Raw genomic sequence first — 23373 nt, forward strand, 5'->3', positions numbered from 1 at the left:
CTTTCTACCTAGGATAAGAGTAGTTTGCAAACCACAGTAACAGTGTTTATAACATTCTGTATTTTTCTGTGTACTTATATTACCAGTAAGTTTTGCATTTTCAGGTGATCATTTATTGCTCATTAATGCCCTTTTCTTTCTGATTGAAGTACCCTCTTTAGCATTTCTTGTAGGACAGGTCTGGCGTTGATGAAATCCCTTAGCTTTTATTTGTTTGGGTAAGTCTTTATTTCCTCTTCATGGTCAAATGATATTTTCACTGGATATACTATTCTAGGGTAAAAGTTTTTTTCCCTCAGCAATATAAATATGTCATGCCACTGTCTCCTGGCATATAAGGTTTTCACTGAAAAGTCTGCTGCCAGATGTATTGGGACTCCTTTGTATGTTATTGTTTATTTCTCTTGCAGCTTTTAGGATTCTTATTTTATTCTTGACCTTTGGGTGTTTGATTATTAAATGTCTTGAGGTAGTCTTCTTTGGGTTAAATCTGCTTGGTATTCTATAACCTTCTTGTACTTGGATATTTTCTCTAGGTTTGGGTAGTTCTCTGTTATTGGAATGTTTACTCAAAATAAACTTTCTAACCCTGTTCTCTACCTCTTTTTCAAGGCCAATACCTCTTAGATTTGCCCTTTTGAGGCTATTCCCTAGATCGTGTATGCATGTGTCATTGGTTTTTATTCTTTTTTCTCCTCTGTGTGTTTTCAAATAGCCTTTCTTCAGAAGCTCATTAATTCTTTCCTCTGCTTGATCCAGTTTGCTCTTGAAGGACTTGATGCATTCTTAAGTATGCCAATTGCATTTTTGAGCTCCAGAATTTCTGCTCGAGTTTTAAAAATTATTTCAATATCTTTGTTAAATTTATCTGATAGAATTCTGAATCCCTTCTCTGTGTTATCTTGAATTTCTTTGAGTTTCCTCAACACAGCTATTTTGAATTCTCCATGTGAAAGGTCACATAGCTTTGTTTCTTGAGGATTGATTCTTGGTGCCTTATTTAGTTCATTTGGTGAGGTCATGTTTTTCTGGATGGTGTTAATGCTAGTACATGTTCCTTGGGGCCTGAGCATTGAAGAGTTAGGTATTTATTGTACTCCTCATTGCCTGAGCTTATTTGTAGCCATCCTTCTTGGGAAGGCTTTCCAGTGACACTGTGGTTCTTGCAGGCTTGTAGAGGTACTGCCTTGATGGCCTTGGATAAGATCTGGGATAATTCTCTAGATTACCAGGCAGAGTCTCTTTTTCTCTTCCCTTACTTTCTCCCAAGCCCACAGAGTCTCTCTCTCTCTCTGTTCTGAGATACCTAAAGCTGGGGCTGATATGATGTATGATACAAGCACCCCTATGACCACCACCACCATGACTGTGCTGGGTCACACCTGAAGCAAGCACAGTGCTGGGCCTTGCCTTAATCACTCCTTGGCTATAGCCTATGTTCACTCAAGGCCCTGGGGCTCTACAATTAGCAGGTAGCAAAGTCAGCTGGGCCTGTGTCCTTCTCTTCAGGGTGGCAAAGTCCCCCTGGCCACCAGTGGGTCCAGAGATGCCATACGGGAGTCAGGGACTAGAGTCAAAAACCTTAGAAATCTACCTGGCATTGTGTTGTATTGCGGCTGAGCTGGCACTCAAACCACAAGACACAATCCTTCCCACTCTTTCCACTTTTTCCCCTTTCCAAAAGCTGAGGAGCCTCACCCCGTAGCCACTGCCACTCCTGGCCATGAGTACTGCCAAAGTACCATCGATGTTCCCTTAAGGAGAAAGGGCTCTTATATCAGCTTGTGGTGAATATTGCCTGGCCTGGGACTCACCCGTCAGGGCAGTGGGCTCCCCTTTGTCCCAGGGCAGGTCTAGAAATGCTGTCCAAGAGTCAAGTCCTAGAATTGGGGACCCCAAGAGCCCACTTGGTGCTCTACCCCACGGTGGTGGTGTTGGTACCTAAGATGCAAGACAAAGTCCCCTTTACTCTTCCTTCTGTTTTTATCAAGTTATTCCTAAATCTTATCATTCTTTAAACCAAAAGGATATCCAGTTTGACAGTGTTCTTTTTTAAGAATGATGCTTATAACTGAATATAATAGTTCCTATGGGATTCAATCAACAGATAGTAACAGAGTATTATTATGTTATTTTGTTCTGTGTGTATTTGTCTATTACTGCACTTAAAATACGAAACGGGAGGGGCAGTATGACTTTGGACTCATTTGCCATAATGCTGAAGTCAAATGTGTTGCTGTTAAATCAGCTTTCTTTACCCAATTCACATTTGTGCTTAAAAAAAAAAGCATTACAAGACCTTGCATATTTCTGTTCAACTTATTTTTAACATTCATTTCATTATTGCAACATTTATTGTAAGTTGTATCAGTTTCATATTTCTTCATCTTCTATATATGGAGATTATGCCCCAGTTACATCTCTTTATCTGTAAGACTAGTAATATCAAAAAAGAAAATGAATTTCGTGTCTTAAAATTTATCCTTAGTAAATTCTACATTTTCTGTTGATTATCACTTTTAAAGGCCAAACCCTCTTTTTAGGAATTTTTCCTGAATCGCACCCAGGAATCACATGCTGTAGTTTGCTCTGTTTTACTAGACTTGAAATCACCCTTTCCCATTTATGTGAAAATTAGATTTCTGTTTGTAGGGAAAAGAAAGAGAGATCAGACTGTTACTGTGTCTATGTAGAAAGGGAAGACATAGGAAATTCCATTGTGACCTGTACCTTGAACAATTGCTTCGCTGAGATGCTGTTAATTTGTAACTTTGCCCCAGCCACTTTGCCCCAGCCACTTTGCCCCAACATTCAGCTCACAAAAACATGTGTTGTATGGAATCAAGGTTTAAGGGATCTAGGACTGTGCAGGACGTGCCTTGTTAACAAAATGTTTACAAGCAGTATGCTTGGTAAAAGTCATCGCCATTCTCGAGTCTCGATAAACCAGGGGCACAGTGCACTGTGGAAAGCCACAGGGACCTCTGCCCTGGAAAGCCGGGTATTGTCCAAGGTTTCTCCCCATGTGATAGTCTGAAATATGGCCTCATGGGATAAGAAAGACCTGACCATCCCCCAGCCTGACACCCGTGTAGGGTCTGTGCTGAGGTGGATTAGTAAAACAGGAAAGCTTCTTGCAGTTGAGATAGAGGAAGGCCACTGTCTCCTGCCTGCCCCTGGGAACTGAATGTCTCGGTATAAAACCCGATTGTACATTTGCTCAGTTCTGAGATAGGAGAAAAACCGCCCTATGGCGGGAGGCGAGACATGTTGGCAGCAATGCTGCTTTATTGTTCTTTACTCCACTGAGATGTTTGGGTGGAGAGAAACATAAATCTGGCCTACGTGCACATCCAGGCATAGTACCTCCCCTTGAACTTAATTATGACATAGATTCTTTTGCTCACATGTTTTTTTGTTGACCTTCTCCCTGTTATCACCCTGCTCTCCTACTGCATTCCTCTTGCTGAGATAATGAAAATAATAATCAATAAAAACTGAGGGAACTCAGAGACCGGTGCTGGTGCAGGTCCTTGGTATGCTGAGTGCTGGTCTCCTGGGCCTACTGTTGTTTCTCTATGCTTTGTCTCTGTGTCTTATTTCTTTTCTCAGTCTCTCATCCCACCTGATGAGATATCCCACAGGTGTGGAGGGGCAGGCCACCCCTTCAGTGTTCGCTACTTTCAGTGCTTACAATGCCTGTCATTTATCTGTAGCTCTTATACTTTTTATAAAAAATAATTTTATACCAAAAGCCTTGAAACTTTTTTAGAGTAGTAGCTTTGAATTGTTGTTATTATTTTATTCTACTGTTATCGGTAACCTCCCATGTTAACACTATTGTTTCTTTCTGTTTACTTTCAGTTGGTTGGCAGAGAATTTGAACTGGAGATGAACTTTATTATCCAGGATGCTGAGAGTATAACATGCATGACAGAGCTTTTAGAGCACTGTGATGTAACATGTCAAGCAGAAATAGGGAGCATGTTTACAGCCATTCTATGAAAAAGTGTTCGGAATGTACAGACTAGCACAGAAGCTGGACTAATTGAACAAGTATTGCTGAAAATGAGTGCTGTAGATGACATGATAGCAGGTATGGGGTTGTCTGTCAGGAAAGTATAACTTAAATGTTTATAAAGTTTCACATACTTCTCTTTATATTCTATAGGTAATGTAGATTTGTTGACACTGCTTTGATTTAAAATAAATGGAAATGTATAGAAATTTTACTTTTTATATTAATGGAAAACCTGAAAAGTGAAAGAAGAAAAACATAATTATTATAGTAGACAAACATAATTACTAACGTTGTTTTCTAAATTTTAGAAAATCTCAGTACCACGGAGTGCTATGAAGTCTATCAGAAAAATAAACAGTATCTTTTTATGTAGTATTTCATTCAGCTTTTACATAATTAAAATGCCACAATAGGTATTACAGTTCTGTATAATGAGCATTTCACCAAATTCCCCTAGTTCTGTGCCCCTCAATCTGGCATATATGCAACTATGACAGGAAGTACTAAAAGCCTTAGATAAGCATGGTGTATCTTTTTTTTTTCCCCACGTATATTTTTTGTTGCTTTTTGTTTTTTTTCTGTAAAATGTCCCGGTTCTTCCATAACTTATAAACATGATTTATACCGAGGAGATGGGGAAGTGGACGGGGCAAGGTGGACTGACCAGGGATGGGGAAGTGATTCAGGAAGGCCCCAAGGGCCAGTGTCAGGGGCAGGGGCGGGAGCTTCTTCTCCAACGTGGCACACACGATCCAGTTGCTATCCACAGAGCCTTTGGCCTTGGGCAGGTCCAGCTGGTACCCGAAGGAGACGCTGGTGTCCTGCATCCTTGTGCTGGCCTCAAACTCCACACCCACCTGCAGCTGGTCACTGGCTTTGTGGTAGTATGTTGCGTGCATGCCCGCCTGGCCCAACGTTACCGTTGCCAACCAGTTGTTCAATGTGTATTTCCCAGCTAGAGACATGACAGTGCCCTCCTCCCCAGGCTGCTGGTGGTAGACCAGCATTCTGCCCAGGGCCAGGCAAGGCGTGATGCTCTGGAGGTAGTGGGCTACGAGGATTCCTGAACCCACGAGGACGTCTGGGTTTCCCCAGGGTTACGGCTGCTGTGAGTCAGAGCCCCGATACTCCCCGTCCACCTGCCAGTTCACAAACTTCGACTGCTGGGTCTGGATGGCCATCTTGGACCTGAGGCGGGGGCCCAGCTGGTGAATGACCTGAGCGTTGAGACTGCCGCTGTTGTCCATGTCACCCACCAATACAAGGAACGCCTCTGTGGGACTCAGCTGCTTTGTCCCCACATACGTGACCCCGAAGTGGTAGCTGGACTCCCTGATTGTGCTGAGGGCTACTGTGTGGTTCACCTGGAAATGGTTACTCAACCCTTTGTTGACTATGAGCTTGACACCCTCCATCTGAATGGGAAACAGCTCCTTGCACTTCCGGTGGCACTCCCCGAATGTGCCCGGGTTGGGCAGGCAGCCGCAGGCCCCATCCTCGGCGGCCCCTGAGGCGCTGGCAGTTGCAGCCCCGGGGGTCAGTTCCGAACCTCGACTCGTACTGGTGCCGGCGCCCAGGCCGCCTCCCAGCGGCGGCAGCGTGAAGCCCGGCGGCGAGGGCGGAGGTGGCGGCAGCTCCACGAGGGCCGGCGCAGGCGGCGGTGGCGGCCCTGCGGGCGGCGACCTGGCGGCCAACACGTTCCCCATGGTCTCTGGCAGAGGCGCCTGCTCCCGGCCTGGGCTCCGCTCCCACCCCGTGCGTCACGCGCAACCGAACCCGCTGCCGCCGCCGCCACCACCGTCGCCAGCATGGTGTATCTTTTGGACATGTCCATTTTGGAAGAAACTTTTGTGTTAAAATAAACTAATATATTATGGGCTAGAACATAAAATTCACCAAGAATTTCAAGATAAAAATACTAATGTTTTGCTTGTTTGGGTTATTTCAAACAATAGCTTTGAAATCTATAATTGTTTCACCACCAACCCTTTCTTTACCTCCTTGCATGCTCATTCTCCTGTGTGGCTAGATGCATTTCAGAAAAGTGTTTTGAATATTATTCCAGAGCAAGGATCATTCCAGAAAATAAGTTTAAAGTTTGAAATGTTTATTTTTTGTAAGCCATGAATCTTCAGCTTAAGTATCTTCTGACATAAAAGCATTTTCATAATTATAAAAGTTCTGATATTACTCTCCACAGTATTATATCTGATCCTGCAAAGTAGTTCAGATACCAGAGAATACTCTTAAACATTTTGACTTATGCATTTAATTATTTTTAAAATTTATGGAACAAGACATTAAATGAGAAAGAATGGAATGAAAAATGGGTTAAAAGAATGCAAAATTGCAAAAAGAATGCTTTGAATTTAAATATTTCCAAAAATTTGATTTTCTGAGAAAATATATTAAAAATCATATCTAATTACCTTCAGGGTGGCATATATCTTTTTTTATAATGACTTAGCACCCCTGTATTGGGGACTGATGGCTAACTTGGTGAAAAATGAGATTCAGACATCTATTTCTTAAAATATCTTTTTAATACAGATATATTAATAGTAGCATTTCTATAAATTCTAGAGTTACTTAATAGGAATTTATTAATATAGACTTATGTGTACACGTTTTATAGAACATCATATGATCCTTCAATTCTTATATCTGAGTTTAAGCTCTTAATTTTTTTTTTTTTTTTGTAAATTTCCTGCTACTCTATGGAGTGCAGTTTAGAGAATGAGCCAAAATTACATGCATAGTCGTTTACTGGTACATAATTCATCAGCACTGAAATGTAAAAGTGACAGTGAGGGTGATTGTACCATAGAAGTTCATATTTTGACATTGCTATTATATAAAGCTTCTTAATTCTCCTATCTTTTTCTCAGTAATAATATTAATAACACAAAATTTTTCACTTTTTGTAATTTCTAGTATTTCCCTTCAAAAGAGCTTGATGATGGAAGGATATGAGAAAAGAGAATAAATGTCAGAAAAATACCTCTGTCTTGCTTTTTAACAGAGAAATTAAACTTTAAATATTATACTGAGGAAGAACTAGTAGCCACCAAAACACTACTAACTGTTCACATCTGAATGTATTGTATGTTAAGTTCAATGGGGTACTTTTTATTTAATAATGTAGTAAAAGTGTCACTAGAAGGTGGCTAAATTAAACATTTATAGCAAATTGATAAGAAAAATTATATTGTTTGATAATAAAATGTTATTTATATTGTATGATAATAAAACTGCCTGAACTAGTTGCTTACACACTAAAATCTGAAACGTTAGTATAGGGTTTAACTCATCTGAAATAGTGTGTGTGTGCACGCACGTGTATGTGCGTGTGTATGTGTATTTTTTTTCATGGCAAGCACTTAGAATTCTTTGACTACTTTGAGATTATTTATTGGCCATCTACAGAGTATTTTCTATATCTTCAGCCATTATGTTTGGAGTAGATTACATTCCTTACTCTTGAAGAACTCTGATGGCTAGACATGCAAATACAGCTTGTTTTATAAATGATACTGTAGATTTAGGTACTCAAAACTATGGGGACACAATTGAAAAGAGAAACCAAGCTAGGTTGAAGTCCAGAAAAGCTTCACAGATGAGGAACATATTAGTCTGCTATTAAAGAATAATTGAGATTTTGTTGGAAGGAAGAATGATTTGGATAGAAGCAACGTGATGTATAGGAAGAGGAACTGTAAAAGAACAAGTGGAATAGCCGGTATATTTAGATGTACTTTGGAATGTGGGGTTGGGTACTAGAGGAGGATAAAATCAAAAGGGTTTGTTGGAGCCATAGCATGTGGGAAGTCTTGTATAACCTGAAGAAATTAAAATTTTATTCTGAATGCAGAAGATTTTTGACATGGAAGGTCCGTGTTGTATTTGAGAAAGGCCATTATCAGCAATATGAAGGATCTGTTTGGGGAACAGATTAATTTTAAAGTCATAATGGGTAATTATTTTTTATGTAGAATTTGGATAAAGTCTAGGAAAATAAATAAATCCATTCAGATGTTTCTTGAAGTCAGGTGAAATAATCAGCTACTTTCTCATTTATTCCTTAGAATGGCTACATTTTATTTGATTGCTATTTTCAAGGGAGTCCTATATTATTCCTTTTCTGCTTATGAATGGATCTGAATCCTTTTTGGTTATAAATATCAGTGGTTATGTTTCTGAGTAATAAATGTCATGCTTTGCCTTTCTTGGTTTCAATGTTGTTAGCATTATGAACATTATCTCTTAATGCTTGCATTTCTTCAATATTGATTCCATTAACTTTCTCTAGCTCTGTCATTTTTGGCTTTAAATATTCAATCTCCTTTAACCAAATGGATTACTACTGAAAACCACTAGAATTAGTTGATCAACTTAACGATGTGTTGATCTGTAAGGATTGAAACCTCGGTAATTTTAGTATGCCAGTAATGCACAGTACAGCATACTTACCAATAAGAACATCAAACATTCATTGATTGCCATTGTATGTGCTAGGCATTGTAAGTGTTTATATATATGAACTCATTTAATACTTGCAATACTCTGAAATAAGACTGCCTGTGTTCAAGTTCTGGCTTCACCACCTACTATTCACCTTGTACTTTTGGTGTCTTCAACTATAAAATGAGGATAGGAATAGTGCCTATCCCATAGGATTTAATGAGAGAATCATATTTAAAGCCCTTTTATAATGGCTGGGTCAGAAATGTGAGCACAGAAATATGTGAGCTATTACTATCTTTTAAGCTCTATTATAAAATATGATATATGGATAATATGAGAGCAAGTTTTAAATAAGCATCTGAACTTCCAAACATAAATGGGGTTGAACTTCAAAGTGGTCATTTTGGGAGATTATACATTAATTTCAGTGGTACCTTCATTTTTCAATGACTACACATTTTTCTACCTCATGATTAAATTTACAGCTAAGGGGAATGCTCCTGTAGAAGAAAACAACTATATTTCATAGTTACATATTTTTAATTTTTTAAACTAAAAATGTACTGCTTTGCTTGATCAACTGCATTATTTATCAAACTTGGCTATGAACAAGTTTTTTTTCCTTTTTCTTTTTAATTTGTATGCTATTTTCAAAGGTACACCGGAATTAGAGAGCAGGTTGTTATTTAAAATGTGAACTTTGTATAAATGTGTTCTGTATTTGCTGATTGCAAATGGTCCTTAAAAGTAGATAAAGTCTACTTGGTGGTAGGCTTTTGTTGGCAATTAATTTGTTTTTATGTATTTCTGAGATTTTAGATTGAAATACTGAAAGCTTCCATAGTCTTTTATTTCCTAGTTTAAATTTCTTATATTTACTTATAACCAAACCTTTTATATTTTTGTTTAGTTTTTGTTTGACACATATTAAACTCCTTCTACCATATAGGGAAATAACTTTTATTTTTATAGGAATGTTTAACAGCCATTAGGTGTTTAGTTCTTTTTATCAGAGGATATTATACTATTCTCAGTTGTCTTTACAGTTTTCATGCTAGCAAAGGAGTTGGTTACTCTGCTCATTTTGTTGGCAACTGTTTTATAGTCACATCATTGAAGTCCAAAGGAAAATGTTTTCAGCATTGTGTGAAATATGATTTTCAACCACGTAAGGCAGGTAAAAGTAAATATTTTTGTAACTCACTTGTTACGACAGAATTCTTAACTATCCTTTTATGACCTCTGTAGTATTCTCTTTCACTGGCTTTCCTATGCTTTTAATGATTTTCTCTTATCCTAGTTTGCATTTTCTTTTTACTTTTATGTCTGATTTTTGTCTTCTATAAGATCAGTGCTTTGATCTCTTGTGGTGTATTTCTCTTACATTCTCTCGTCTCAGTCTGATCTGTTCTATGGCATTCTTTCAATAGATACTTATTATTTACTGAGTATTGGACACCATTGTAGGCACTAGGGAGTTATAAATCTTTGCCTCTTTTTTAAAAAAGTTAAATGTTAAACCCCCAGATTAAGCAATGCACAGATACTTTTCTTGTGGGAGATTCACCTAATCCTGGTAGTTCTGAATCTTGTTTCCTAAGATTGGAGGTTTTGTTAATTTCTGATGCTTTAGTAATGCTGGCTTCAAGGAATGGAATGTTGCTGTACTGTTAGTTTTGGCTCATGAAATGTGTCTTTACTTAATATCCCAAATAATAGCAAAAACAAGGTCAAAACACATTTTAAAAACTGCTGTAAAGAGAAAATGCAGAGAAATGTGCAACTGTATAATTAGAATTATAAGAGATAATTCATTCATAATCAGGTGGCATTTTCTAGAGAGATTTTCCTGCCTGTGTACCGGACTCCATCTTTGTGTCAGAGTAACAAGCCAACTGAAAGTCGAGATGAAAGAAAACAAGGACAGAGTGCGTAGGAGTTCCCGTCACACACGTTTAAGGCTTTTTTCCCCTTCCAGGTTCAGGGTTCTTTCTTGGGTATATGACAATGAGATTGTCAATGCTTTTTAGGGCACACTGCCTCCTCCTAACAGAAATATCACCTTACCCTTTGTGATTAATGGTACAATCATAATAGATATGATGAATCCAAATGTGGTGAGGGGGAGGTCTTTATATCTTTTTCATATCTTTTTTGTTTTCTTGTTGCTTATGATCTGATGTGTGTCTTGTCATATACAGAAAAAAAATATTTTGGGTGGTATTTTCAAAAATTTGTTTAGATTTTGCATGATTCTAATGAAAATATTTGTTTTATATTTAATGTCAGTAATTGTAGTTTCTATTAAAGAATATCAATTTAACAATAATTCATCAATATATACTTAGAAAATAGCTTAAAAAGCAGTGACCTGAATAAATATATTCATTCATTATAATGGTGTATTCTTTCTTTTTTAATGCAAATTGATTACTTTAATACCAATCACATTGCCTTTGCTCTGGAAATTCTGTTTTACTAAAACTAAGATGAGACCAAGATAGTTTGCTAAAATTGCCAAATTATTTTGAATTTCAGTGGAATTGATTAGAAGTACAGATTGTTGGTATTATAATTTTTCATGTTAGGATTGTGTGTTTTTAACAAATATTTAGGTAACTTTCTCATCAGACAGTTTTAGGAAACAGTGGTTTAAAGAATATACATGCAAACAATTAGGGTGAAGTTATAACCAAATGAAATTGTCATTAACCAATAAAAAGCGCTTTAACCCATTTGTTTTCACTTTTTCTATTTTGTGTTTTCTTCACTGTTTACTTGTGGAAAACACATTCTCCTTTGTAAAGCTCTCAATATGCAATGATTCTAAGGGGTCTAGTTAGCAGCAGGGCCAGAGAATGATGTGGATTTTAAAAAGTCTTCTGTGAAGATTCTCACAAACCTGGAAAAGTCATAAGTATTTGCTTTTATTGTGCTTCATTATTCAAAATAAATTTATTCTCTTATTTCTTCCTTTCTTTAATTTCCCACAGATGCCCTAGCTAAGTTGTTGTTATCCTTCCTAATAAGAGATTTACTGGCCTTTCAAAAAGAAATCTTTACATTAAAACTTTTGCTTTCCCAGCTGCACCACTTACCAGCTGTTAGAACTTGTGAAAATGGATATAAACCATTAGCATGTTATCTAATGGTAATATGTGCTCTAGACATATTAGCTACTATTGATATCATCTGTACTTTTTTATCTTCAATTTATTTCCATATCTTCAATTTGTAATATATATCTTGTGGATTCTTAATATGGAACTTTATTTTTTTCTTATTTCTGGTTGTGTCCTTCTTTTATAAATTTCTTTTTGAGTCTCAAACTAAATGCAGACTTCACTATATATACATAATATCACTATGCACAGGTAGTTTCCAAGTTTATTTTTATTTTCTTTAGTCAATGTATATCAGGTCAAAAGTTAGGCTTTTTTTTAACCATTGAAAAACTCACTTGTGTCTGTTATCTGTAGAGTACAGTTTGATGTATCAAGGAAAGAGAAAAGTTACTTTTCTTATAAATAAGTACTATGGTCTTAACTGAGATCAGTTCATTAATTCATCAGTGCATTCATTTAATTTTATCATATATTATTGTTACAACCAAAAGCAAACCTTGATAAACTCCAAATCTGATTAATTTTTCTGTATTAATGATCTTAAGTTAATGGTACCCTTACCCATCTAAGTGAAAATTGGAATCCATCTTAGACTCCCCTGTTATATGTTAACACTTCCTATCATTTCTGTTAGTTAATTCCCATCCTCATTTTAAAATTACTAATGCCTTTTTCTTAGTTCAGCAGCTTATGGTGTCTTACCCAAACCTTTGCAGTGGTTTTTCAGTTTTATCTTTGTCCACACTTGCCTACCTATCTCACCTCCAAATTGCTGCCAGCTATTTTCCTTAACTATGAAGCTGATCGTTTAACTTTCCTGCTCAAAATTATTTAGTTATACCACGTTATGCAAAAAAACAAAGGCCAGTTTCCTAAAGGTCTGTTTACAATCTGGTCTTCGCCTGTTTTTTTTTTTTTTTTTTTTTTTTTTTTTCCTGCTAAACCTACACACTGAAGAAAGTTTTGTCAAGCATCTGTGCTGTATCATATTAAGATTCCACCTGGAATGTTTTTTTACCCCTGTCTACTGAACAATTCCTTTTCATCCTTCAAGCATAGTCTTATGGTTCATTTTATTCTTTTAGTGAATACTTCTATGATAGTCTTTCTTCTCTATTTGTCTTTCTTTCCCTGTTACTTATAGTAATTACTTTTATTACTCTCAAATCTGTATTTTAGATATTCTCTATTGTTCTCATAACTGTTTCTCTAGTGAAACTTCCTTGAGTGTGTATATGTTGTCTGTCTTTATATATCCATGATCCAAGGTTGGGACAGGGTACTTGGCATAAAGTAGGCTCTTAGTACATTTTTTGAATGAATGAAATACTCTGAAAGGTAAATAATAATCAATTTTAGCATAAATGAACCTCATCATGAGGACATAGTAGATAAAATCATAATAGTAGTTTAGTTAATGGTGTGTTATTTATGGGTGCTGAATACATTGGGAACTTTTCTTCGTAGTTTTCATGTATTATCTGTTTATAATATTCACAAGGAATCCACAAAGTAGGCATTATTATTCCCCTTTTTCAGGGAGATGAAAATAGATTCGGAGATGCTAAGTAATTTGCCAAAAGCCATAGAGCTAGTAATTTGGGAACCCAATTCATGTCTTTAGGAAGTAAAATTTATCCTGCCCAGTACATTAAGTTATCTGAAGTAGTAAGAACTCAGTAAGTATTATTTGAATGAGTACTTTTTTTATCGTAAGTACACCAATAAGTATAATAATATATCTAGTATTTATCTTAAAATTGTCTTTGGGCAGGAAATCTTTGCCTATATATAGGTATTTATTTGTGTCTCTTCTCTTTAGAAATGTAAAGTTATTACACATTTTATTCCAGAATATAAAGATTGTGTCTTCTGTGTTATGTAGATAGCATTCTTGTTGGATAGTTTCAAACTCAGTGAAGGTAATATGTGCAAACTAATTCTTATACATGTAAAATTCTGTAAGATTTTCCTTAAATTTATTTGAAGCTCTTTTTTATGGTTTCTTCTTGATAATTTTGTAATATTTAGAAACAATGGTTAAATGACTACTTTAAAGATTTTCTCTTCTAATTTTAATCAGGGCTAACATATATGTCAGTTTCGAATCAAGTGAAAGACTTAGTTTGCAATAAATTAATGATTTCCTGGAATGAAAAACCTTAAAAAGGATGTGCATTTTAGACAGTTAAATGTCTTGACCTTTACACTGTTGTTTTGTATTACTGACTTTTTTGAGTTCTTTAACACACTATTTTTTTTCTTTTTCTTTTTCTTTCTGTTTTTTTTTGTTTTTTGTTTTTTGTTTTTTTTTTTTTTTGAGACAGAGTCTTGCTCTGTTGCCCAGGCTGGAGTGCAGTGGTGCAATCTTGGCTCACTGCAACCTCTGCCTCCCAGGTTCAAGGGATTCTTGTGCCTCAGCCTCCCGAGTAGCTGGGATTACAGGCAGATGCCACCACGCCTGGCTAATTTTTGTATTTTTAGTAGAGACGGGATTTCACCATGTTGGCCAGGCTGGTCTCAAACTTCTGACGTCAGTTGATCTGCGCACCTTGGCCTCCCAAAGTGCTGGGATTACAGGCATGAGCCACCGTGCCCTGCCTATTTTTATTTTCTAAATTGAAATGAAAAAAATTGAATTTTGCTCAAAGTATTTTAGATACCTTGAAATGACTAATATTTTAGTGATTAAGGATTATTATAACTTTTTATTTCTCAAAATATATATGAAATAATTGAATAGTGCATTGAAGTAATCTGTAGAACAAAGTTTGTGTTTTATATTTTGGTAGGAGGGAGAAACCAGTTAATTTTCCCCCCTTAACTTCAGAAAGCATACTTGTTCAAATGTTTATAAATCATTTGTATTTTTCTATACTTTAGAAAAAAATATTTCTATATTCTCTATTTTAGGATATTAACTCTCAAGAGACTAAAGGTTGTTTCAGAAATCAAACCATCCATATTAAAATAGATACTTAAAATGCTATTTGATAGCAGTAACTATAAAATGGGCACTTAATATGAACTCATTTATTGATTCTTAATAAACACACATTATTAAGTTATTAAATATATAATTATCACTGGATTTACTAAATCTTAATTGTGAGATTGAAACTACCTAAATCATATTATAAATGCTAAGATGTTGTTTCTTTGACAGATCTTTTCCTGACCATGTAATCCAAAGTAGAATCCTACTTTATTCTTTTTCAGTTTATACTGTTCTTTTTCTCTTCACTGTAATCACCATGATTTATAATTCTACATTTGTTTAATTGTGTCATATATATTTCTTTTATAGCTCATAACTTCTAGGAGAACTGGTTAGCCTTGGGTATCTGCAGTGCCTGGCACAATGTAAATTTTAAATGAATGAACACAAATGAATTGTATTTCCACAATTTTGAATCTTGGTATAGTGGAAAGAATATTACTCTGGAGGTCAAGGGGCTGTAGTTCTTGTCTTCTCCATGAATATTCTTTATGTGCCACTTCTACCATCTGTGAAATGAGGGATGGGAGGGGGAACTTGAGGAAGTGGTATTAGATGATCATTAATAGTCCTGTCAGCATATTATTGTAGGGTTTTATGAATATTATAATTGCATTTTAGACCATAATAACCAAACATTACATATTGATATATTTAATTTTTTTATTTAAGTGGTACATGATCAGCATTGTCCACATTTACAATCGATGGAGAAACAGTGAAATTCAGTGTTATGTTAATGGACAACTGGTATCTTATGGTGATATGGCTTGGCATGTTAACACAAATGACGTAAGTCTTTATTTTTCTCTCTGTGTTTTAATTTGTTTGAGAGTATGATCTATCATTACAAAATGAATTGAATAATAAAATAGTTTGGTAGAAACTTAAAACTTTGGAAGTTTATTCTTTTTATTAAACAAATCTTTCACTGTTAAATTTAATATAAGAAAATTGCTAAAAGACATGATTAGGGATGCAAAAACAGGAACATTTGGCCAAAGTTTTAAGTTTTTTAGATAAAAAACCGCGAATCCTGTATTCTATTTATTCCAGCATCAAGCACTAAAAAATGTGGTTTACCCCTTATTTAGATATAGAAAGAAGACCCTAAACAGAAGTGTAACATATAGTCACTATTATTAATTACATAGTGATAAATGCTATGGAGAAAATAAATTGGGGATACAGAAAGTGTAGTTGTAGGGAAGGGGGGAGCCGGATGGTCCAGAGATGATTTTAGTAGGAAGAGGTGAACAAGCAAGGTATGTGGGGAACTTCTTCTATCCAGTGGGAACAGTGAGTGTAAAGGCTTTGAGGCAGAATAGGAAAGTTCAAGGAAAAGGCAATTTGTCTGGAGCAGAGGTAGGTAGAAGCAGAATAATATTAAGAGATAAGGTTAGGCAGAAATCATTTTGGCCTTCATAAGCAAACATAAGGCCTGGGCTTTTGCATCTTACTCAGCTTAAAAATCCTTGGAAGGTTTTCAGCAGACAAGTGATGTGTGCTTATATTTTAAAAGCATCAGTCTGCCTGCAGTATTGACAATATTTTGAAGGGAAATTACAGAAGCAGGAAAATCACTTAAATGGCTTATTGCAATAAAACAAAGAGATTATATTAGTTTCTACCAGTATGTTAGCAGTGGAAGAAGTGACACAGTTGGATTCTAGATAGTGAAAAACTCGAATTAAAACCTCAAGTGTCCTTACGGTTTCTCTACTTTGGGCTTTCCATTGTCTACATTCTGGCCTGTCAGAGCCAAAGTAAAAGGTTTGTTTTAATGCTGAAAGTACCTGCAAGCTCAATAATATACAACCCTTCACGCTTACCTGGTTTTATAAGAACTTACCTCTTAAATACAATTCATTTTTCAGTTTTGTTTGCATGTCTATAGGCTTTAATCTCCCAAAGGGCAGGGATTTGCTTATCCTGTCTTGTATTCTTTTAACTAGCACTGTGTGTATGGTCCATAGGTTGTCCCCTAGATCGGGGCTTGGCAGACTACACCCTATGAACCAAATCTGACCCTCCCCCTGTTTCTGGTTTCGTGTAAGCTGGGGGCAAAGACTCTTGGCTTTTAATTTTTAAAGGTTTTTTGTTTGTTTGTTTTTTTCTTGAGATACAAACAAAATCAAAGAAGAATGGGACAGCAACCAGGTGTGGCAAGCAAAGTTTAAAATACTTTCTGTCTGTCCCTTTGTAGAAAAAGTTGCTTTTCCCTGCCATAGAAACTCATGGTTGTGCCACAACCAATTAATATTTAATGGAATGTTGTTTTCAGAATTAGAATACACAGATGAAATTCTGCTTTTTATCTTCTCTCCAGAGGAGATCTTCTCTCCAGAGTCTTTTTATTATAGAGTGGAAGAAATCCCAGTGGTCTTCTTGACTCATTCAATGATAAGACAGTATCTTGGAAAGAAAATACTTAGTTTTTTGGTTATTTATAATAGTGCCCTAAGAAGTGGAGAATTCTAGATAATAACACATATATACATACTTTATGCAGTTAAAGTTTAAGTTCCTATACTTCTAATTAAAGATTGGGTATTTAATGATGACAGTTCTTTTTGCCTTTGTACGCATTCACAATTTTTTTTGTTACTTTATTGAAGTACCAAAAGTACTTCTTACATATATAATTCTTGCTTATTCATTCTAAGGTGTGAAATAGCCTTTGGGGATAGGGGAAGGGAACTGAGCCATGACTGCTTTCCCTGGTTTGGGTGAGTGGGGTGTAAGAAGTAGAGGCTGGAAAGATCTTGTTAAGCTTTTGGCTTCTTCAGTGCTGAATTCCTCAATGTGGAGGGCACTGTACCATCTGCTTTAAGCAGCAGATTTTAGTCTTATTGTTTATTTGATTCTGTGTAGTTCCTACTCATATATGAGAGGGGATTTATTTTCTTTGTGTCTTTTACTAAATACGGAGGAATAGAGGAATAGATTCATAATTTCAAAAATAAAGGAGAATAAAAAAATTAGACCCTATGTGTTCACTACATTTTGGAATAGTCATTCCCTTGATTCAGATCAATCTCTCTATATATGGATAATTATACATCATTACAGTTTTAAATTATTTTAATGTTTGTAAATAATTATAAGCTATTTTGTCTTTAACTATAATATTTGAAAAGTGTTAAGTCAGAAGATTGAGTAGATGGCTACTGTTTGCTTAAACATAAGTGTAAAAAATGTAATTGATCATTTTTCCCAAAAAAACTTGGCTGGCATTTATTATTTAAATAATAAAGTCTTCATTGATGCTCTCCTCTATTATTATTGTTATATTTTAAAATATTCATAAAGGTTGATTTAAGGATTTAAACCTTTTCATCATTAAAAATGATGCTTTTTTAATGACTTTTATAAATAGAGCTATGACAAGTGCTTTCTTGGATCATCAGAAACTGCTGATGCAAATAGGGTATTCTGTGGTCAACTTGGTGCCGTGTATGTGTTCAGTGAAGCACTCAACCCAGCACAGATATTTGCAATTCATCAGTTAGGACCTAGATATAAGGTAGTAATAACTATAATTTTATAAATTCTATGGAGCATTTCAGATGTAAAATGTGATGTAATATAATTTTTAGTGAAAATCTTTCTTTAATACAGTTTAAGAGTCATTTCTATTTTTTGGATTGTAGTCAGTTTTTATTATGTGTTTCTTTTTGGTTCAAAGATGCTTTTTTCTCAACTGTTTTCTCTTTATAAACTTTTTTATTCTTCAGAATATTTTCTAATATTGATAGCATGCCTTTTGTTAACAGTTCTGAAATAATAAATCTTATAAAACTATTTTGCTTAATGTAGTATTTATAATACAAAAATTTGAAATATATATATTACATAGTAAACATAATAAAGAACTTGTTAATATTACTGGTAACTTGGAAAGAAGAGTTAAAGATTTAGAAGGAATCTAAGATAATATACTTCATGGGCCTAAAATTATTTAATTTTAGTTTATATTTTTGCTTTAATTGCAGTGAGGAAGTAGGTACAGTAGTGAGTAAACTAATTTAGCAAAACTAATTATTTAATGTAATTTATAATATTCTTTCTGTTTTTTAAACTTTAAGAACAAAGACTCTAGGTAAGATATAGCATGCACATATATGAGTTAGTTTTAAATGTGCAGTACACCTGGATAGGGGAATATATAAAGGTTCTGTCTAAATCACATTGGGAATTGTGAAGTCTCAAACTACTTGGAGCTGAAAGAGAATTACACATTATAGTCAAAGTGTTTATAATTCTGAAGGAGTACTTGTCTTGTATGGAAGTGTGGTTTATTTATTGAACTCAATTTAAATAATTAATGTGAAGATTGTGTTATGGAAAGGAAAAATATTTTTAAAAATTCCCTCTTTGGCCTTTGTATTTTTGCATTGGTATTTCTCTTTTTGTTTTTATGTCATACACACACACACACACACACACACACACACACACACATATATAGAGAGAGAGTGAGAGAGAGAGAGAGAGAGAGAGAGAGAGAGGAAAGTTTGAATTTACCCATATTAAAAGATCTTTTTTTCTCAGTGACTTTAATAACCATAATAATATTGAAGAATAATAATGCTATTATTTTTATGTCAAGGTAACAATACTTGCTATCATATATTTTCCATATCATTTTTGTTTTTGTCTTACTAGCTCTAGAAATGAATTTGTGCTTGTCCAGCTATTTCTTCTTTCATGGGTCTTTGTGTTGGGTTTGCATCCTGGTTCTTCCATTGTTGATCTTGCATAGGAATATTTTTGTAATTCACATTTTTTATTAATATGCTGCTTGCTTTTCTTTCCTACTTCTTTGAGTTGTTTCATAAAATACTTGCAGTGTCTTTTTAAGCTCTAATAGAATGATATTAAATAGAGTGACAAGCAAACAAATAAAATATAAAAAGGTAGAATATCAAGAAAATACAAATCCGATATGATTGCTAATGTGAAATATCAGAATTGATGGGAGCTTCCTGGCAACATCAAGGAAAAAGGCTGAATATAAGCGATTTTGTAATTCTATTCACAAAGAAGCAAACTTTGTCCTGAACAGCTTTGCAAACTCTGTAGTTTGTAGTATTCTTTTCACACGCCTTTCTCGTCATTCTTTTTAACAACAGTGATAATGAGCAGTAACCTGGTCATCATGTGTGCACAGCTCATGTGACGTAGAGTATTCTTAGTATCCTAACACACAATAGAGTACCTAAAGCCAGAACTTTTAAGAGATATACCTGTAAGTTTGGGCATTACATCAGATAGTATTTTATTAAGTTTTGAAAGTTCTCAGCTTACTGCACCCTTGTTGTTAGTGGGGGTTGATCATAAATCCACAGGTACATGCATTTTCTCAATTTGTAAATTTTTTTTTGAATGTATATAATTTTTATTTGTTAACTATATCTCAACAAAGTTGGAAAAAATGAAAGAGAAGTGAAGGAGCAGGAAGAGCAAGATGGAGAGGGAGAAAATCCAATAAAGAGTCCACAATGTAGGTTGCAGCTGTGAGGATGCCTCTCAGAGCTGAAGGGAAAAAAAAGCACACACACACCAGCTGCCATCCGCCACTGCCTGAGAGCTGTCCCTAGGAGTATTAATTAACTCCCTTGTGTTTCTTCTTAGCTGTGCCTGCCTCTATCTGGGGCTGAAAAGGGCTTCTGTTTCTTACCAAAAAAAAAAAAAAAAAAAGAAGAAGAAAGAAAGAAAAAATCCTAAGGCCGAAAAACAGAGAGAGGAACAGAGGGTGATTGAGGTGGGGTACAGGCGGCATGCACACAGATTCTTCACCACAGCATAGTTAAAGTCAGAAGTGGGCCCAGGAGAAGAATGGAGGACATGGAAAGCATTTGCATTGGTTCACCTTCACATGGCTTGGATCTACAGAGGCTACCTGATAAACTTTGTCACCTATTCAAAGAGGTGGCCAGCATAATCCCTAACAAACACACAGTAAGTAGTAGGACAAGCAAACATCCCACTGCACAGCTAGTACCAAGGTCAACACTAGACTTTGTCCTCTCCCCCTTCACTCCCCGCTTTCTTCCCTCAGCCAGACCTTTAGCTGCTCTGGGAGCTTGCCAGATTAGATGACCCTGCCTTTCACCTCTTAGGGTCTGAGTACCTTTGGTGGCTCTGGTTAGTTGCTGCAGTTGCATGTTGACTATTGTCACTGATGATGGGAGCACCAAGAGGTGATCCCACTGAACACAAGTTCTAGATTATGCCTCCCTGTCCCTGCTCCCTGTAACACCATCTCTAGCTACTCATGATGATTGTGGTTATTTCTCCTGGCTACTCACTCCTTTCTTTGAGGGTTGCCCTACCAGCATGAGGATCCCAAAGTGACCAGAGTTGTAATTGTATCTTCAGGTTGGTTGATTGCTTACCCTGTCCTTGGAATCTGAGACCTCTGATCCAGCAAAACCTAAAATAGTGGAGCTGGGACTCGTAAATTCTGCAAGTGGATTACTAAGAGTTTTAATAAAGGACACCAATTGTATTTCCACTCTTTGTTCCCAGACCCATGTTGTTGGCTATTAGAGACCAGCTATAGGAGACCACATAATGTTATTGAATATTTACTGTGTATAGACTATTTTGGAGAACAGAGCTACCTTTGTAAGTGTATCATCCTGAACTGGTTTTTTAGCTGAGCCTTTAATAAGTCACTTAATATAGATTATGGTAGAAAAAATGAGTCCCACAGTCACATGCCCTCTGTCACACTTCTACTGCTGAATAAAATGAGTCCCTGAGTCCGAGATGATGTTATTCAGGATCCCATGTCAGTAAAAGTAGATAAATTTGTAAATATTATAAGTACAATTGCACCATGACAGGCATCAGCAAAATTTTTTTATATTAAAAAGCTTTTTTTTTTTTTTTTTAGAAATTCAGAGAGCATAGAGAAGGAGGAATGCAAATGATCGGGTTGTGTTTTGACAGAAAAGCTGAGTAGTTCACACATTATAGTTACAATTATCTTGGTAAAGTCACTCTCTGTGAGAGAAGGGGTAGAGGGCTACAGTGGAATTTTTAAGGTGTAGAGAATATAATAACTAATGGACATTTGGATAAATCACAAATGGAGATTACTTAGTGTTGTATAATAACATAGTATTTATATTTATTGCCTTAAGTTATATGGAACTTTCTTTCATTGTAATGGTCAGACAAAATTTATGATTCTGAGTTTAGTGTAGGTAGCATGTCAACATATGGGCTTCAAAGTTAATAAAATAAGTTAATTCTACCTTCAAATAATGTCATCAAACTATATATTCAATAGAACCTGTCACAAATGATTTTGACTTGTTGGTCACTGTAGTGCTAGGTAAATTTTTTTCTGTTGAATATTTGGATTTGAGCATTGCAGCTTATCAGTAAGTATTCTGTACTTGGTTATTTTCTGGAAATGGTAAATAAGTTAGGGTATCACTTATTAACTAAATAAACCATTCAGTTTGGAAAATACAGAAATACAGAAAATATTTAAAATACAGAAAATCTCACTGTAGATTTGTCTAGTATAGTAAAATTTACTACCACATAAGTTTACTGTGGATCTCTATTTGGGGTTATTTAATGTCTTCAAGATTCTGTATGAGGTGGCCCTTTGACATAAGCTTCAAATCAGATTTTAACAAAGGTTTTATATTTTATAATTATTACTAGACATTTTCTCATTGTTTTGTTAATCCCGTGTAGCAAGCAGTTAGTCTTCATGGCCAGATATTTGAAAATTTAGTTTTGAGTTCTCTCTTTCATTTATGAATATGATAGCATAATGGTTTTTATAATTTGCTATATCATAATAAAGTTCTAACTGATAAGAGAAAAAGTATAACACAACCTCCAAAATTAAAAATCACTTCAGAGGACTTCCAGTACTTGTGTGGAGGGGTGAACTCCTAACAAACTGATCTTCTCACAAATAACCATTTGTAAACTCTGCACATAATATAGATAATATCTATCTGAGGGTTGTGGAGATTGAATAAAAGCAGGCAAGCTTCGGAGGGTAGTCAAAATATGGAACAGTCTGTCTACATGGACTGATATCCCCATTTTTTGCTTTTATAGGAAACTTTCTGGCTAGAAAGTTTCTCTATAATATTGTACAGAGTAATAGTCACACTATTTAGCATATAATCCAAAAGTACTTATTCTAAAAATGGTCAGAAAAAATGTGACTTATTCTCAAGGGAAGAGTAAATCCTCATATACCAACTCTAAGATAACCCACATGTTGGAAATATCACATGAGGTCTTATTGTAACTAGCGAGGTAGAGAAAAGTTTACTTATAATGAATTAAAAGATAGGAAGTATCAGCCATGAAATAAAACAAAATCAGATGGCAATTCTAGAACTGAAAAATATATCAGAATTAAAAATAAGCTGTATGGGCTTATTAGCAGAATTAATATTATAGAGAAGTAAATGAACTTGAATATAGATTGACAGAAAATCTGAAGAGAGTTATGAAAGATTGGGGTGAAAAAATAGAACCCTAGAGATGTATGGGGGCAGTTTTGAAAGGTCTAATAGGCACAGTATAAGAGAAAGAGCCAGAAAAAATATTTGAATAAATGATGATAGAAAACTTCTCAGATTTGATAAAAGGATTATGTTTATAGATTGAAGAAACTCTGAAAACTCCAACCAAAATAAATGCAAAGAGAACCAAAGTAGGCACATTACAGTCAAAGTGTGGAAAAACAAAGATAAAGAGAAAACCTTGAAAGCAGG

At 35.3% G+C, this 23373-nt stretch overlaps 1 long non-coding RNA gene and 2 pseudogenes across 4 annotated transcripts in view; 2 read left to right on the forward strand and 1 right to left on the reverse strand.

Annotated features, from left to right (window-relative positions):
• The window catches only part of LINC03124 (long intergenic non-protein coding RNA 3124), an 84906-nt gene that overhangs the window by 36054 nt on the left and 25479 nt on the right, over positions 1-23373 (forward strand). For 2 of the 4 annotated variants that reach the window (NR_167889.1, NR_167887.1), the window contains exon 6: positions 3865-4096. This is a non-coding gene — a long non-coding RNA (long intergenic non-protein coding RNA 3124). Of the gene's footprint in view, positions 1-3864; positions 4097-15280; positions 15401-17987; positions 18135-23373 lie in introns of all 4 variants that reach the window. The other 2 variants (NR_149013.2, NR_167888.1) reach the window with 2 other exon arrangements.
• The window catches only part of NBEAP2 (neurobeachin pseudogene 2), a 29168-nt pseudogene continuing 9660 nt past the window's right edge, over positions 3866-23373 (forward strand).
• On the reverse strand, positions 4565-5826 carry TOMM40P4 (TOMM40 pseudogene 4; annotated as a pseudogene).

This window comes from Homo sapiens, chromosome 2 (genome assembly GCF_000001405.40).
Source record: "Homo sapiens chromosome 2, GRCh38.p14 Primary Assembly".
Taxonomy (NCBI): domain Eukaryota; kingdom Metazoa; phylum Chordata; class Mammalia; order Primates; family Hominidae; genus Homo; species Homo sapiens.